The sequence below is a fragment of the Homo sapiens genome, chromosome 9, assembly GCF_000001405.40.
Source record: "Homo sapiens chromosome 9, GRCh38.p14 Primary Assembly".
Taxonomy (NCBI): Eukaryota; Metazoa; Chordata; class Mammalia; order Primates; family Hominidae; genus Homo; species Homo sapiens.
The window spans coordinates 89,693,224-89,710,779 of record NC_000009.12 but is presented as its reverse complement, the minus strand read 5'-3'; the positions used below and the strand labels follow the sequence as shown (position 1 = coordinate 89,710,779).

Here is a 17,556-nt window from a genome sequence, read left to right as displayed (position 1 = left end):
CTTTTCTTTTGACTCTTGACTGTTGAAATAAGATGAGTTCGCACTGGACCTACTGCCCACGGGACCCCCACCAAGCCACCACGCGAACATGGCGTGCATGGCCCAGGGTAGCAGCAGAGGCCACGTGACTTCAGCAGGCCCGATAACACTAACAGCTACCATTGACGGGGGTACCAGTACTTGGTGGCAGCATGCTGTAATCGTAAAGAAAATGAGCTGTAGATTTCTGAGCTCATCACTCAACCTCTCTAAAGGCCACAATCCATGTCTATAAAGAAATGTGGACAACCAACTGACAAGCTCGTTGTCAGAATTCAAAAAACCAGTGTCAATGTGCACGCCCATCTCAGTGCAATGCCTGGCATGGAGCACATGCTTGATAAAGGGTAAGTAATGTCACTACTGGAGGTCACATGAGATTCACCAACAGAGAGAACAGGGGCGGGAAAGGGGCTCTTTCACATTTGTTTTAATCCCTAGAACCCAGTGCTGTTACTGGCATGTGGTAGGAATGTCATTTACTATGCGTTGAATGAAAAGAATAAATGAGGATACAGACGCAGTCTGCTCCTAAATATTTAACAGCAATCCTGGCTACTTAGGCTTCTCCCTCCAAACGTATTGCTTCTTCAGCTAAGACAGCAGAAGAGGTGATTTAGTCTACGGTTGTTATACTCGGCCACAAGTGAACACAGAAATAGTCCAGAGTGTCACAGGTCCAGGGCAAAGGACTAACATGGACAGTTATGGACATGAGCAAGGTGGGTCTCAGAGGTGGTCTTGGCGATCAGATGGCGATGAAGTTCTAGATGCATTGAAACAAGCTCTAGACAGTAGCATGCAGTCCAACAACTTGTACCAGCATCTCCAGCCTCTGGCATTCATGTTTCTGCTCCTGGCACCTCCATGGGTGCAAAAACCTAGCGGTTTACTTGGACCTCTGCCTCATCTTTCTTCCTTTGAGCTTCAGTCTGTGCTTTTGCTTCTTTCTCCACTTGGCTCTCGCGGTGCAGAGGTTTCCAAGAAGATGGCACTAAGGCCAAGAGACGTATTGCTTTGATATTAATCAGATAGAGTTTATATCCCTGTCAAACTCAACAGGAAAGTTTCATGGTTTTTTTTTTTCCACTTTAGCATGGATGTTCCAGGTGATGGAACCCAACTGTGGGTTATTTAGACAAGGCTCTTGCTTCCAATCCACTGGAGTGGGCGAAAGAAAGAAAGAAAGAGAGAAAGAGAGAAAGAAAAGACAAGAAAGAAGGAAAGAAAGAAAGAAAGAAAGAAAGAAAGAAGAAAGAAAGAAAGAAAGAAAGAAAAGAAAGAAAGAAAGAAAGAGAAAGAAGGAAAAAAAGAAAAAGAAGTGGAAGAAGTGGAAGCAATGACCTCAGGTGAGTCTGAAGCGGCAGGTTGCATTTTCCAAAGATGGCTGAATAACATCTAGCATCCCACTGTCTCTTCCGCGGTGTGGCCTTGCCAGTCCCTTTCAAGGGCCTCATCTCTCCCACTTGACTCTGGGCCAACCTCTGTGACTTTGTCAACCAATACAAGTTCTGATTCTTCCAAGCCCAGGCTATCCAGAGGCCTTGCAGCTCCTTGTCAACTCTTGGGACCTGGCCCTTGGGATGCTCCCTCTTGGGACCTGGCCACCATGCTAGGAGAGGCTGAGTGGAGAGGGCTCATACGGGCACTCCTGAGATCCCAGGCCGAGAGGACAGCTGAAAGCCAACATCTTTGGCCAGGCACATAGATGAAGGCACCATCTTGGACATCCGCTCAGCAGAGGTTTCAGAGACTCCAGGTCTGGGCACTGTCTGATTGGATCTGAAGCCTCACCATTGTGAGGATGGTGTGGCCAAGCCCAATCTACCCACAGCACCATGGGAGAGAATAACAAATTGTTGTTCTAAGCCACTGAGCTTTGAGGTGCTTTTAAATGCAGCCATAGTCAGCCAGAACAGTGAAGAGGGCATCAACAGGACAACAAGTCAATGAGAGGACAGGACTTCAGGAGTGATGGGAGGAGGGAAGCTCTCTAAAGAGGCACTGTGTAGCTGAAATGCAGGTGACCAGGAGCCGGGCATGCAAAGGTGAGGAGAAGCATGCAGAAGCAGTGTGGCAGAGATGCTCAGGCGGCATGAGCTGGCCTGGGGTCGGGTGGGCAGCTGGGGAGACAGTGAGCAGGTCAGAAGGGGCCAGGGGAGCTGGCCATGTGGACAGCAGCAAGGAGTTCACCGGGAGGCATTAGGAGCAGTGGCGAGCCTGCGAATGGCTTTAAGCAGGAGGCTTTGTGGTCTGACACACCCAGTGGGGAATGGATTAGGTCTGGAGGGTAAAGAAGGAGGTGGGAGCTGGGAGGCCACCCAGGTGAGGAGTGGGGAAGTGGCAGTGGCACCTCATCTCCTCAATGACCAATGTCCCCTGAACTGGCTGCTCAGAGGCTGATCTCTCTTGATGACAGGCCTCTGGGTGGGGGCACTGGGTGGGTACCCATACTGTTCACCATGCAGGGCTGACCCCACCAGTCTGTGCCAGCCTATGGCGACTGCTTCCCTGGGAGGAAGGACAGAGTTGTGTTCCTTGATCAGCACCAAGCAATGATGTTCTGTCTCATTTTAAGAGAACCCAAATGGCTCACTGGTGAGGCTCTTCCATGGAGGGGAGCAAAGCACAGAGGTTTCCGGAATGATGAAGCTGAGTTCTCACTGGTGGCCTGACTACCAAACACTGCTAGCACTGACTTCAAACTTGCAATTGCTTCAATAAAATGCCAGAGAGAACTCTTTCTAGAACAGTGGCTTTTGAACTTCTCTCTGGCCCCATAAAGAATTGCATCTTACTTCGGGAGGCCGAGGCGGGCAGATCACGAGGTCAGGAGTTCAAGACCAGCCTGGCCAACATGGTGAAACTCCGTCTCTACTAAAAATACAAAAATTAGCTGGATATGGTGGCGCGAGTCTGTAATCCCAGCTATTTGGGAGGCTGAGATGAGAGAATTGCTTGAACCCGGACCCGGGATGCAGAGGTTGCAGTGAGCCGAGATCGCGCCACTGCAGTCCAGCCTGGCGACAGAGGGTGAGTCTCAGGTGAGTCTGAAGTTTGACTCTGTCAAAAAAAAAAAAAGGAAGGAAGGAAGGAAGGAAGGAAGGAAGGAAGGAAGGAAGGAAGGAAGGAAGGAAGGGAAGGAAAGGAAGGAAGGAAGGAAGGAAGGAAGGAAGGAAAGAAAGAAAGAAAGAAAGAAAGAAAGAAAGAAAGAAAGAAAGAAAGAAAGAAAGAAAGAAAGAAAGAAAGAAGGGAAGGGAAAGAAAGAAAGAAATGCATGTTGCCTGTCAGCCGGCACCTCCAGACATGGCTGTCCGCCAAGGACAGAAGGCTCAAAACACGGACTTCCCACAGGCAGAATGCACTGGTGTTTACTCTGCTCTGCTCTCCCACACATTAAAAAAACAAAAACAAAAACACTGGTCACTTCCCACTAATGGCTCTGAACCAAAAGTTTAAAACCCTGTTCCTGAAGCCCACAGTGATGAGAAGGATGGAAGACCCGGCCTTCAGGGAGGCACCTGGCCCACGCTCCAGCCCTCACCTCCCTCTGTGCTTGTGCCTCACCATTGGGCCAGATAAGTACCCCCTGGTTTGGGCCCCGGGAAGAATAAGGAGATGGAGATGTTCTTCCTCCAGTGATCAAGCTAGTGTTGTCTAACCGAAAGAGGAGAAGCAGGAGGGTGGGACTTCCCGAGACCAGCCCCAGCTCCCAGCCCTCTGTCACAGAACTGGCACCAGGTAGAACCCCCAGAGCAATCTACACCCCTCCCAGCTCTGCCTTTCATGATTCAACCTTTCCATGGGGAGGTTTAACATATGAAAATGGACATTTCACCGCACACAATCCAGATGCAAATACAAGGGGGCACTGAAGACAAATTTTCAATGTAGCAATTAGGGATAAATTTGTCAACAGAAACTAACTGCAGCCTAGATTTATAGTCAGTGCTTTCCCCGAGATCTTCCCTGGGGACAATTCAGCAAATGCATGTCCACCAAATGCTTTTCAAATCTTCTGCAAGATGTAATGTTCTGTTGCTCCTCAGATGACTTTTTAAAAAATTTTAAAACAATGCAATTTCTTGTGACCAAACCTTATATAAGAATGATTTTTTTAACTTCAAAAATAATCAATTTATATCTCTGAAAATTCTATGTCATTTTACAAGGAAGGGAAAATCTTTTTAGCAACATAACACACGCATATATGTTAAATTTTTCAAACACTCCTTTCCAAGTTGCTTGGCTTACATATTTTCATTTACACAACTAATCTATTTTCAAAATTATTAACACTCATGATAGCCTTTAGTGACTGGAAAGAACCCAGAGAATCAAGACGTTTATGATTACAGGAAATCTATCCCAAAAACCATACTATACACACTGAGCTCAGCTCCTCTTCCCACGTAGGGGCAAAATGAAGAACTATTCAATGAATCTTCCTAAGTTAACAGGAGACATTTGAAGTTGTTTTCAAAGTTTTGCTTTACACACAAAGTGACATCACTGAAGACTAAATGCTGACTGTTTGTCTTCTTTTGCCCAAATTCCTACTTAAGGGGCCTGGAGAGTCACACTCTACAAACCATAAAGTCTCATCAGAGGGATTTTATTTAACCCTATATAACGTGGTGGCTTACTTTCCAACCTGACTCTGGCATAACATCACGTAACAAGGAAGGAAACCAAAATATTTTAACCCCAAATATATTTTCTTGCCATATCTTGAAATTGCCCTGCAAAGTCATCTCTTGTGGGGAAAAATCTACATTCTATAAAGAATGCCCTTTCCCTTTTCCAGACCTTTTCCCTGATCCAAGAGGGAGTCAACTACGAGTCTGGCACCTTTTTAAGTCTGATAAGAAACATTCACAATCTATTCTCTCTGAAGCCTCCTACTCTGGAGGTTTCATCTGCATAATAAGAACCTTGGTCTCCACAATCCCTTATCTCAACCCAGACAATTGCTTTCTATTGATTCCAGGTCTTTAGATAAACTCTTTCAACCAATTGATAATTAGAAAACTTTTAAATCTACCTGTAACTGGAAGGGCTCCCCACTTCCCCCAACCCCTTCAAGTTGTCTCGCCTTTCTAGACCAAACCAATGTACACCTCAAATGCACTTGATTGATGTCTCATGTCTCTCAAAAATGTGTAAAACCGGCCGGCGCAGTGGCTCACACCTGTCATCCCAGCACTTTGGGAGACTGAGATGGGCAGATCACCTGAGGTCGGGAGTTGGAGACCAGCCTGACCAACATGGAGAAATCCTGTCTCTACTAAAAATGCAAAATTAGCCAGGTGTGGTAGCACATGCCTGTAATCCCAGCTACTACAGAGGCTGAGGCAGGAGAATCGCTTGAACCTGGGAGGCGGAGGTTGCAGTGAGCCAAGATCGCGCCATTGCACTCCAGCCTGGGCAATAAGAGCGAAGCTCAGTCTCAAAAAAAAAAAAGAAAAAAAAGTAAAACCAAGCTGTGCCCCGACTACCTTGGGCACAAGTTCTCAGGATCTCCTGAGGGCCGTGTCACAGGCCACAGTCACTCATATTTGGCTCAGAATAAATCTCTTCAAATATTTTACAGAGTTGGACTCTTCCTCAACATCATTTTGCGCAAGTCTCTCTAGAGGTAACTAGGGGTCGAACTGCATTTGTTACGTTGATGGAGAATGCCAAATGACCTTTCTCAGTTGGTGCATCATTTTTAACTCCCATTTTAAATATTAGTGGGTAGTGACCAGTGTTTTTGTTTAAACTATTTATACTAAGCAATATATGGGAATGCCTATTTCCCTACACAAGTGTTACCACATTTTTAAAACATTTCTGAAACTTCTGCAAAGTTTGATTTTTTTCATTACTCTTTTTTTTTAAACTTTTTATTGAAGTATATCCTACATACTGAGGCATGCACAAAGTGAACCCATTCACGTAACATTCTTGATTCCTTCCAGACACTGTTTCTCCTAGTCACAGGGCAGGTGTGTGCTCAGCTTTAGTGGAAACTGCCAAACAGCCTCGAGGTTGGCTGCACCAGTGCGTACCCTCCACCAGCAGTGGATGGAGGTTGGCTGCTCCACACCCTCACCAACACTGGCTCTTGTAAGTTTTGGGATTTTTTTCACTTTGGCCAATTTTGTGGCTGTACATGAGGATATCACCTTGTGGTTTTCCCCGGTGACTAATGAAGCTGAACACCTCTTTTTGCTCGTGGACATTTGGATTTCCTTTTCTGGGCAGTGCCAATGCTTCACATTGATTTTTTTTTTGTCTTGTCCTATTGATTTGTAAGAGCTCTTTGTATATTTTGATTAAGAGTTCTTTGTCAGATTTATGTATTGCAAATATCTCCTTCCATTCTGAGGTTACCTTTTAAATCTTGTAATGTTATCCTCGGAGGAACAGAAATGCTTAATCTTAATAGAGTCCTACTTATCAACATTTCTCCTTTTTGAACCTTTTGTGTCCTGATTAAGAAATGTTTGCCTGCTCCAAGGTCATAAAAATATTCTATTTTTCAAAGTCTTGTTGTTTGTGCCTTTTGCATTTAGAACTGCAATTCATTCTGAGTTTGAAAGGAGGTGGGAGTCAGATGAACTATTTTCTATATGGATAGAAAATTTATTCCTCATTTATTGAGGGAAGAAAATGTTCCCTCTGTACTATAGTATCTTTTTTGCATAAATCAAGTATCCATACAAATAACCATACATAACTGTTCCTAGACCCTATATTTGGGAACTAAAAATAAAATTCTAAACCCCTTAATGACTGAACAAACCCCCTCTTGGCCAAGGAGACCCCAGAAACACCTTAAAAACTAAGTTCCATGATGGGACAGGTGGTCAGACATGTCTCATTAAACTCTCTTCCTTTTGGGGTTCTCTTTCTCTAGCAGCTAAACAAGCTCCAGCCTTGAGATAAGCAATATTAAAGCAATTACAACCCATCCAGCTCACCGAGGCTGAGTAACTGAACGCCTGTTCCACCAGCCACAACTACAGCACTGGCTCTGGCTGGTTTACAGAGGCTGTGCACTTGAATCCCTTCATGTCCTGAAAATACCTCTTGACGTATAGGGCCTGACTGTAATACATTTAAATGTTCAGTCTCCACCCCAAGGTAGACATAAGTTGTATGTTACATACATGTGGGTTCAGCACACATGCATCAGGACCACCTCATGAATACTCCTAGCTCCTCCTATAACCTGTTGAAGATGCATGTTTATCCAACCCATTTAGCACAAAGCTGCTGCCCTAATCTCTCCTTCAGAGTGCCTGTCTCTGGCTTTGGCCAAAGGCAAGCTTCCTGGTCTAAGGGATGGCCACGTTGATGGCTGTAACCATCAAGTCTCCTTTTCCAAACTTATAGATTGTGTGATTTTTAAGTTAGCAATGTCTTTTTTTACACTGATCTGTCCATTCGTGTGCAAACATCACACCGTCTTAATTCCTCTAGCTTTCTAACAGATCTTTCCTTCGGACAGAGTGAGTAGTCCAGTTTTATTCTTCTTCCACAAAGAATTTGGGCCTTCGGATTTCCTACATTAACAAAAAACCCTGCTCTTAGCTGGGAGTGGTGGCAGGTGCCTGTGATCCCAGCTACTCAGGAGGCTGAGGCAGGATAATTGCTTGAATCCGGGAGGTGGAGGTTGCAGTGAGCTGAGAGATCGCGACACTGTACTCCAGCCTGGGCCACAGAATGAAACTCTGTCTCAAAAAATAAAAATAAAATTTTAAAAAACCCTGCTCTTTAAAAATTTCAATATAGCTCTTACATATTTCATGTGCTTAAAACTGTTTGTATTCCCTTGTCTGAAAACTTTTATTAATATATTTTAATCCTTTTGAACTATTGGTCTTTTTGTTATTGATTTATAGGAGTTCTTCATAAATTAGGAAAATTAGCTCCTTGTCTACGATATGAGTTGTAAATATTTTCCCACATTTCCATTTGTCTTTAGACTTGGAAATGCGTTGCCCACATTATTTTATTTTTATGTGTGTCAATCTTTTCCAGGTTTTTGTGTCTTTCTTAGAAAGGCCTTCCTCACTCCAAGGTTGTCATTACAACTGTTTAGAAACATGCATTTGTACTGAGAAGAGAGCAGCTGTTTTGCCAGGATGATGGAATGTGGGAAGATCCCTTCTGTTACGTATTTCCTCTAGTATTGCTATCACATATGGGGATACTATTTTAAAATAAATGCCATGGCCAAAGCATGGTGTTGGTGCTTCTGAAATGTTCTAGAACCATGTTACTAGCTATGACACGGACCCCTCCATGCCTTGATGATGACTAGGCCTAAAGACCCTTCACCTACACAGGCCACTCATGGTATTGAGAGGTGCCTTAGCAACAGATAATCATTATTATACCTTTTCTTAAATTTGACAAAGTAAGGGATTTGAACTGCAGTGGGTTCAGTCTGCCAGCAGTTCACATTCTAACCCCTCCTAGAGGTGGGGGTGGGGGGGAATGTAAATTGTGTTGTAATTCTGTGTTCTTTCTCATAGCAGGCACTCCAGCATCAGTCCCATAAAACCTGGACTTACTACAGTATCTACCTAGGAAGCACCAAATAGCATCTTGCACTGATACCACGCTCTTAGAAGAGTCCAGCTGCTGGACGCAACCTGCAGAGGGACCGTAGAGAAGATAAGGCTGGAGTGGGAAAGGAAGAAGAGGGAGTGAGGGTTTGGAACGGGATGGTGCTGGAGGCAATTAGGTAATAACTTACCTGAGGACAACTTGAACCCAGAGCACTGTCTTTCAGAAGTCTACCAGGTCAGCCCAAATCCAAAATGACTCCTGTAGCAGGCAGCACAATCAGAGAATGGAAATTAGCAGAAAATGGGGCCAATTCTGTCTCAACACCTGGATCAATTTGATCTGAGTGGTCAATCTGGGGAGAAGCCCTTACTGGCCTCCACTGCCTGGGGGGCAAGCTGGACTTCCAAACTGGCTCATGCAGATGGAGGTGTCCTCAGCCACAGGGCATCAGCAGCCAGGCCTGGATGCCCCCATACGGAGCAGCCCTGAGCTCACCCACGCCAGGCACTGGGGACTCAGACTGCCCTGGGGACTGCAGAGTCAAGCTCCCCTATCCACCCCCAGCCCCACATGGTCCCTCACAGGCCGTCAGGGACTCTCCCAACCTTTGTGTAGCAACGTTATCAGGGGTTTTCCAAGAAAGGCTCCTTCAGCCTTGCCTGGGGAAATTACAGAGCGGTGGGTGGGAGGTGGAGGGGGGGCCACCGCCAAACAGTTTTGCGTGTTCTGCTACAAGCGTCTCACCGCTTCCTGCTTTTCTCAGCATTACAGAAAACGCCTCTCTAATTTTGGCCGTGGCTCCAACAGTAACTCAGAAAGAAGGCAAGACACTGGACAAGTAGCTGCAGCGCTCTTAGAGGTGTGCACGCCATTTACAAATTTCTATTTAAAAAGAATTTGCATGTGAATGAGGTTCAGGACAGACACAAATCGACCTTAAAATATTTGAGGGCCACTAGCTCAGGGCTCCAAGCCACCAGGCTGATAGAAATACTCAGCCCCCTCCATCCCTGGAGGTTCCTAATGAAACTCAAGAATTCTAGGTCTTTCTTGCTCCTTTTCAAGTGATGTGAAAAGCCTCACAACATTGGAGAGAGTCCCTAAGGCTAGCAAATGTGAATGTCAGTGTAAACTGCAGGTGTTAAGTTTATCTTAGTTTATCTTGTATCATCTGCAAGCCTGGTTTCTAAAGGTCACTTCTCTGACAAAGGAGGTGAGTCTTTGTTTTCTAACCAGAGACATTCAATGAATTCTTTTTTAAGTTTTCTTGCCCATTTAACATGCAAATGCTACAGAATAATTGTGCCACATTGTAAATTGTGATGTAGGGGCAAGAAGCAGGGATTATTTCTGGATCAAGGGATTGTTGCAGTCTCACTAAGAGGTGCCACATGGATCAACACACACCCCCATCCCTGTATTTTGTTTATTTTATTTTATTTTATTTTATTATTTTTAAATTTAATTTTATATTTTTGAGACAGGGTCTTGTTCTGTCACCCAGGCTGAAGTGCAGTGCTATGATTTCGGCTCACTGCGACCTCCACCTCCCAGGTGCAAGTGATTCTCGTGTCCCAGCCTCCCAAGTAGCTGGGATTACAGGCACGTGCTACCACACCTGGTTAGTTTTTGTGTTTTTAGTAGAGATGAGGTTTCACCATGTTGCCCAGGCTGGTCTCGAATGCCTGAGCTCAAGCTATCCTCCGGCCTCGGCCTCCCAAAGTGCTGGGATTACAGGCATGAGCCATTGTGCCCGGCCCCTGTATTTTGTTTCTTTAAGAGACAAGAAAGAGCTAGAGGTGGACACTCAGACCTTACATGGCAATTCTCCTGGCCTCACGTGTGCAAATCACCAGACAGAACTCTCTGGAGAGGGATGTGGGCGCACCAGGGCCCTTCCAGCTAATAAAGAAAGCCAAAAATAAGACACGTGAACAAACACACTAGAGAAAACAGTGCAATGTGAAGACACCTCAGCTGCAACTGAAGAAGGTAATGTATGTCCATGGGAGGACAGAGAAGGGCAGCAGCTGAACGTCCCCTGGAAAGGTCTGTGGAGTAGGTGAGGCTGGAGTGGGATTGGGAGAAAGGGAGTGAGGGTTGAAGGTTTGGAAATGGTCAGCCCTGGAGGGAATTGGGTAGCAAGACGAACTGAACCCAAAGCATTGAATGTGCCAGAGAAAGAGGAAGACTGAGTGAATTCAAATCAGGCAAAGTGAGCACATCAAAGCGAAAAGAGGTGACTCTGAACACAGCTCGAGTCCCAGGGTCACCGTCCTACTGGGACTGGATTGTCACTGAGAGAGGAGAGAAAGTGTGGACTTGGGACTATGACCCTTGGCTTCCATCAGGAGTGAGCATTTGAAGCAATCGATGCCTCTAATGGAGATGGTAGCCACGAAGTTGGTGACATGTTCTGCGTCAGACTAGGAGAGCCTGGCGGGCAGGCCTGAGAAATTCAAGCTGGTAAGTCACCAGGCAGACGTTCTAAGAATCCAGGGCCTGTCGCTGGAACGAATTGGAAATCTCTCACGAGACCCACATGCAAAGGTTGACCTCCTCTTTTACCAAACTGGAAAATGTGCCTTGCTCCTATAAATGCTTTAGCGGGAGACATCACTGACCTTTTTCATTCAGCCAATCAAGAGTTCATGTACACAGGGACATTTTTGCCAAGCACTGCTGAAGCCACACATACATATGGCCCCTAACAGTACAGAGTTTGTCATTAAGAGATGAAAATCAGTGCCAACGGAAGTTAGAAAACAAGGAGAGACTTTCCCTACTCAAATTTACATCCAGGATTACAAAGTTGGCTTTTGTCTCTATCAAGAGGAGCATCCATGGAGACTAGAACCCTGCTATTCAAAGTGTGGCTTGTAAACCAACAACCTCTCCCAGGAGCTGGGTAGCAAGCCAAACCCTCAGACCCCACCCCAGACCTGCTGTGTCAGAGTCCTCATTCTTGCCAGCTCCCCAAAAGACTATAGCATCCCCATTTAATCCTAAACATAATCGACCCTGAGCGATATCCAAGCTCCCCCTGCCTGGGAAGAGAGCAGGAATCAAATAGGGGGTTTTAATCCCGGTCTATACCCCTCCTGAGTCCCTGATAGCGTGGCACGAGCAGCCCAGCCTTGCCCGTCCCCAGGAGCCTCCACAGAGCCTCTGAGCTGGGCAGCCACTGACCAAGGCTGTGTCCATCAACTGTCCCAGGGTTCTTCCCAACAATGGGCTCAGTTAAAAACCCTGAAGTCAAGGGAGCTGCCCTGGGCTGAGGTCCTTGGACTGCCATGGGCTCTCTGCCCATACCCGCTCACTGTCCCTCTCCTCACTGTGGAGGCCAGCAGCTGCCCAGGCCCACCCGCGTCTGAGTCGGCCATGGGCTTGGATGGGACTGGGGTCACTTGCTGCAGCTCAGCACTCTAGTTCTGCCTTTGGCGTGGGGAAGTAAAGCAGTTACTAATGTAAAATGATGGCTCATCTGGGCTGTGAAGGGCAGGTGGTCGCAGGCAGCTGTGTGAGTTACCCTTGTGTATGCAGTGCCATTGCTGCCTATGTTCCGGACACAGAGGAGAGAAGGAGCTCATCAGTCATTCCATGGTGACCCAGTCCCCTGTGATAGGAATCCCACAGCAGCAGGCACAGCTAACGCCCCACCCTCAGGGTGCAGAACACTGCTCCTGATGCCCTGTGGAATTTGACAAAGGCACCTTAAAATAAAATGTGTCATCTCAAAAGAATTTTCTCCCAAATTTGGGACCATAGGCCCTGGCTCTCAATCTCCAAAGAGTCTGAAGATTCAGACTAGCCTCTTTGATTTTCTTCCCTTTTTGAAACAATAGAATCCAGATTGGCATAACCCCTTAAACCAGCCACGATTTTTGATCAGAGTTTTAAAATACACTCAATTATTCTAAAAAGTACCAAACATAAAAATTTTTCAGTCTTCAAAGTCCAGTTAAACTTCACTCACCTGACTCTTTAGAATGTGAGCCATCAGTGTGCATGGCAGGGTGAGAATCTTTTACAGCTTCTCCTGCCTACATTCTGGAAATGCAGCTATGCTAAGCAAACACTGCAATGGGCCTCTGCATGGGCATGGACTCAGGTCCTGAATGCTGCAATCCGTGAAGATCTGTGCTGTAAGCAGGGAGAGACCATGACAAGCTTGATTAGGGTGGGTCTGTGGGTACCAAGTTCTTCCTTTATAGTCTCCCCGAAGTCACCACTCCTGCAAATGAGTTCAGGGATACCTGGGAGCTGCGTCCACACCAAATAATCCCAACAAGACTGCTAGTCCTCCCACAACAGAAACATTTCTCAGAACATATGGGTCAGTATGCACAGTAGCCACTGTTTATCAGATGCTTAGAGCAGGTCAGTCATTGTTCCGGACTGTCATTGACAGAAGTCGTTTTCAAAGCACCACCCAGGAACATGTAAAAATGCAAATTCCAGGCCCCATCCCAGACCTGCTGAATCAGGATCTCCTGGGTTGAGACCCAGCAATCTGAGTTTTAAGAAACCTCTGAATGGTTGTGGTTCTTGCTAAAGTTTAAAGACCACCAGCCTTCATCATCCCATTTCTGTGATTCAAGGGTGATTTATTGCAGAGCACAGAAAAGCGGGAGATCCGAAAAGTCAAAAAGCTCAGTGCAACGGTATGAGTCAGGGCTCTCCAGAGGAAAATAGCCAGCAAAGTGTGTATAGAGAGAGAAAGTCTAGGGGACTTTGCTCACATGAATACAGAGACTGGCAAGTTCCAAACTCTGGATGGTGGGCCACAGGCTGGAGCCCCAGGAGAGCTGACACTGCAGGCATCTGAAGGCTGTCTGCTGATGGTGCAGAGAAGTCCAAAGGCAACTCTCTCCTCCCAGGCAAGATCAGCCTTTTGCTCTATTCAGGTCTTCAATGAACTGATGAGGCCCACCCATATTAGGGAGGACAATCTGCTTTCCTCACAGTTCATTGATTTAAAGTTAGCTTCACAGAAACACCCAGGAGAATGTTTGACCAAATATCTTGGCACCCCATGACCCAGCCAAGTTGGCACATACAATCCACCATCACACAGGTCCACATACCCGGCCAGTGGGGAAGCCAGGATGGCAAGCCAGCCCAGCCTGGTAGCCTAGCAGCTGCTGCCAGTGACACTACCAGTTCATCCAAGAGGGCCTTTCATGTCCAGGTCACTGTGGAGGTGAGGAAGGCACAGCAGAGTGGAAAGGGCCCAAGCTTTGCCAACAGTAGAACCTGGACTTCAGCCTTCTCTGCCACATGCCACCGGTATGATCAAGCATACTGGCTATTCTCTGAGCATCAGTCTTCCCCATTGTGAAATGGGCCTGCACCCTCTGCACCTAGAGGAAGGGGAGATGTCAGCATCTTTCATCAGCACCCAGGAAGTGGAGGTGAGTTCCTTTCCCTCCTAGTTTTCTGCACTGAATGCTCCCTTTTCACAGGAGCAGCTGGTAGGTTAGAGAAATGACTGCCTTGCTGGCACCACTAGGGAGGGCGCAGGCATTGCCAACCTAAGTGACATGCAGATTTCACCAGGGACTTCGTGGGGTGGCCAGGCTTTCCAGAATTTAAAATATAGCCACTTTATCAGGTCTTCTTTTAGTAGAACCTAGAACTGGAGACCATCTAAAGGTATGGCACTTGCCTCAGGGCTACAGCCTGTCAAGGTCCCAGGTGTCATTTTTAAAAGTGACAGAGACGGCCGAGTGCAGTGGCTCATGCCCGTAATCCCAGCACTTTGGGAGTCCAAGGCAGGCGGATCACGAGGTGAAGAGATCGAGACCATCCTGGCCCACATGGTGAAACCCCATCTCTACTAAAAATACAAAAAATTAGCTGGGCATGGTGGCGCGCACCTGTAGTCCCAGCTACTCAGGGGACTGAGGCAGGAGGATCACTTGAACCTGGGAGGTGGAGGTTGCAGTGAGCTGAGATTGCACCACTGCACTCCAGCCTGGCAACAGAGCCAGACTCCGTCTCAAAAAACAACAAAAAACCAAAAGTGACAGAGACTATAGGTCACACCGGATCAAAATAGGACTGAACGTCCAAATGGAACTAAAACCTGGTGAATTCTTTTTTAAGTCAATTTAGTTGCAATTAATTTAATTTTTCAGTGCCCTGTTACAGTTAGTTATAAATTCAAATTAGCTTCAACCAGGTCAAAATACTTGCAGACAATTTAACAACTAGCAGAGGTTTGAGAAACTATAGCATTTACCCTCAGGGGCAAGATGTTCATAAGACAGTCCTGCTCTCCTCAGCCCAGGAACCCAATCCCACTACAGCCAAGAACAAAAGGGATCTGGACTCTGAGCTACTCTGAATTGCTTCTCATTTGCATAAATTTGCATATCACCTCCCAGCAGCTCCCACCCCAGCTGAATCAAAGGAATCATGGAGTGAAGCAGTCTTAAAATTAAGCTGCAGGCTGTGTCTCTGGCATGATATGTCTGCAGATTTTCAGGTTGATTACGCTGATCACATCACAGTTTAGCAAAGTGGACACGGAGGGAGACAATACCTTTGACGGGAGCTGCAGACCTTCCAGGGCTGTCCTGCAGCAGGAAGCAGCTGCAGGCCGGGTGGGCTTCAGCCCCTTCAGGGCAGAGCTGGCTCCACAGCCGGCCCCTGATCCTACCCTTTGGGGCCTCTACCTCCTCCCATATCCCCCTTGTAATTGGAATGGGTCATCTCATTGGCTGCAGAGCCTGGGGATTTACATAAGAACACCTTATTCCAAAGCCGTCATTTGCCCTACCATCTGAATCCTAACATCTCAGAGACACTTAGCAAAATCAAGCTTTCCTAAAAATAGATGCTGCATATTAGATGGCATATATTAGCCCTCATTAAGCCTCTTACTGAGAAAGCCCTTAAACCTTTTTATACAAGTTCCGCCTATCCAACTTCTCTTTCACTGTTTAAGCCTGAGCCAATAGACCCGAAATCGCTTTTCCTATTCCCCATCTCTGCAGCTCCCAGATGCCCCGGTGTGAGGCGGGACACACAAGCAGGGCCGCGGGGGCAGGGAGAACATACTAGAGCTTCTCTTAATATTTTTTTCATCTCTTACGTGGAGAGGTGTGTTCAAAACAAGGTTTACAGAGGGGGTACATCATCCAGTGGAGACAAACTGGGGAGCCTGTGCAAGGTGTGGCCCCTCAGTGCCTCAGCCTCCACACCTGCTGCCTCGGCAGAACCTTCCAGCCATGGCTCCTTAGCATCACTGACTTCCCACAATACATTTCATTGCTCATCTTCATCAAGGTTCATCTGCCTCAAAGTGTGATGGTGCTTTCCATTCACTCCAGCCGCTCTCCTTGTTTGCATTAAACTGGGAGAGGGGGTGGTTTTTTCCGGGGTAGGCCCTGCAGCACCGAGGGCTAGAGCCCTGTATCTGGCTACATGCCCGGTGGTGAGACCCTGAGCAGGAGCTCAAACTCTAGTGCATCACTGCCCAAGCCAGACCATGGGGCAACTTACGGTTTCTACCTAAAGGGGTATTGTGCCAATTAAATGTGAAGTACTCAACATAATGTCCAAGTAGGCACTCAGTGACCACTGGATGTTATCAAGATCACCTTACAGAAAAATGTGTTTTCAAAATGTGTGCCCCACTAGGTTCCAGGTATGAATGTGCCTATCTGTGCATCCATTGATGAATACGTCAGTTGATCTGTGTATTTGTCTAAATATATAGCCATGTGAGAGCCCTTTCTTATTTGTTCCGTAGGGATGTCTAACTACAACTTGGGAGGAAGGTCAGGGTACTGTTGCCTGCTGGATGCCATGTGTGGGTAGGGCACCCCTCACTGCCCCGTGATCCACAATAAAGGGCTTTCTGACTTCTCCCCTGTTCATCCAGTTTCTGCATTGGTAGGTAGGTTTCCTCTGTGTGAGCTCACAACGGACACCAAAAAAAGACTTGAGCAGTTCTTCATCCAAGGTTGTCATTTGGCAAATTCCTCCCACATAGCAGCGTATCCCGTCAGCAGCCCTGTGCCCTTGTAAGGACCGGCCATCCTCTGAGCATGACCCTGTGGTGAGCCTTTCATACCTCAGGCTGGCATACAGCCCGATGGAGGCGTCCGCTTCTTCCCCACCCCAGAATCCTCTCCTTCCGGCCTCCCTTTAGGAGTCCCCTTGTCTCTCATGCTCCTTCCCTGGACATAGACTTCCTGCCTAAGAAAACAGCATTGCCCATGCCCTGTCATGCAATGGTAGAGAAAGGATGGAAAGGGCATTCTCCACTCTCAGAAACAGTTCGCCCTTCTACCTCCAAGCACACGAAGGAAAAGGCGACCAATGTACCTACTACGGCTATGTCAGATGGTTAGTTTTCTACCCCAAATTCACACCAGAGAGCACCCAGCTATCTTATGCCCCTACTAGCACAGCTTTAGTCTCCCAACTGGGGGTACACCATATGAGTGCCGTGCTTAGCACACATCTCTGTCCTCTGCATTTTCATGCTGGCCCCTTGGAGGCTGGGGAGGAGGAGAGAGAGCCAGAGAGATGGAGGTACAGCAGTAGCCACGAGCTTGCTTCAGTGCACATGTGCCACTGCAGCTGCCAGTCCCTCTCTTTTTCTTACTCCATCTTTCTCTCTCTACACAGTCTTTATTGTCCCTAAGTTCTCCATTCATCTCCAAAGCACATTCTGGGCCTTGCACTCCCCTCGTCTGCTCCAGCTTCATGTCCCCACCCAGATTTCTTCTATCTTATCATCTCCATCTTACTCAACCTCACACTGTGTTTTGTTTCTACATTTTCTCTCATTTTAAAAAATCCAATCACCTTTAATATTTACTCGCCCCCCAGAGATTTTCAGTGTCGCCCCCTCTCCATTAATTGTAGGCCATCATCTTGTACCACCATCCATTTCATTCCTCTATTTTTTTCCCGCTGTGTTGACTACCACTTGCC

General features: G+C 46.9%; 2 long non-coding RNA genes across 2 annotated transcripts in view, besides 4 other annotated features; one reads left to right on the top strand and one right to left on the bottom strand.

The window, feature by feature from the left end:
* LINC03062 (long intergenic non-protein coding RNA 3062) overlaps positions 1–17,556 on the bottom strand; it is a 79,977-nt gene that overhangs the window by 8,980 nt on the left and 53,441 nt on the right. Inside the window, exons 4-5 of the long non-coding RNA NR_024280.1 lie at positions 12,581–12,747; positions 8,792–8,862 (exon numbers count right to left, since the gene is read on the bottom strand). This is a non-coding gene — a long non-coding RNA (long intergenic non-protein coding RNA 3062). The remainder of the gene's footprint in view (positions 1–8,791; positions 8,863–12,580; positions 12,748–17,556) is intronic.
* LOC105376140 (uncharacterized) lies at positions 6,314–13,879 on the top strand. The gene is made up of 3 exons (XR_001746827.2): positions 6,314–8,838; positions 9,368–9,463; positions 13,796–13,879. It is a non-coding gene; the product is annotated as an uncharacterized LOC105376140 (long non-coding RNA).
* Positions 8,258–9,457: an enhancer, noted in NCBI's record as "CDK7 strongly-dependent group 2 enhancer chr9:92316238-92317437 (GRCh37/hg19 assembly coordinates)". NCBI's record gives its function as "activates an origin of replication core promoter dependent on BRD2, BRD4, P300/CBP, MED14 and CDK7 cofactors, with strong dependence on CDK7, by STARR-seq in HCT116 cells {active_cell/tissue: HCT116}" and the evidence as "EXISTENCE:reporter gene assay evidence [ECO:0000049][PMID:35650434]".
* Positions 9,122–9,441: an enhancer, noted in NCBI's record as "active region_28555". NCBI's record gives its function as "activates an Ori minimal core promoter by ATAC-STARR-seq in GM12878 lymphoblastoid cells {active_cell/tissue: GM12878}" and the evidence as "EXISTENCE:reporter gene assay evidence [ECO:0000049][PMID:35858748]".
* Positions 11,433–11,932: an enhancer, noted in NCBI's record as "H3K4me1 hESC enhancer chr9:92313763-92314262 (GRCh37/hg19 assembly coordinates)". NCBI's record gives its function as "activates a minimal SCP1, AML or CMV promoter by ChIP-STARR-seq in naive H9 embryonic stem cells {active_cell/tissue: H9 hESC(naive)}" and the evidence as "EXISTENCE:reporter gene assay evidence [ECO:0000049][PMID:30033119]".
* Positions 11,933–12,434: an enhancer, noted in NCBI's record as "H3K4me1 hESC enhancer chr9:92313261-92313762 (GRCh37/hg19 assembly coordinates)". NCBI's record gives its function as "activates a minimal SCP1, AML or CMV promoter by ChIP-STARR-seq in naive H9 embryonic stem cells {active_cell/tissue: H9 hESC(naive)}" and the evidence as "EXISTENCE:reporter gene assay evidence [ECO:0000049][PMID:30033119]".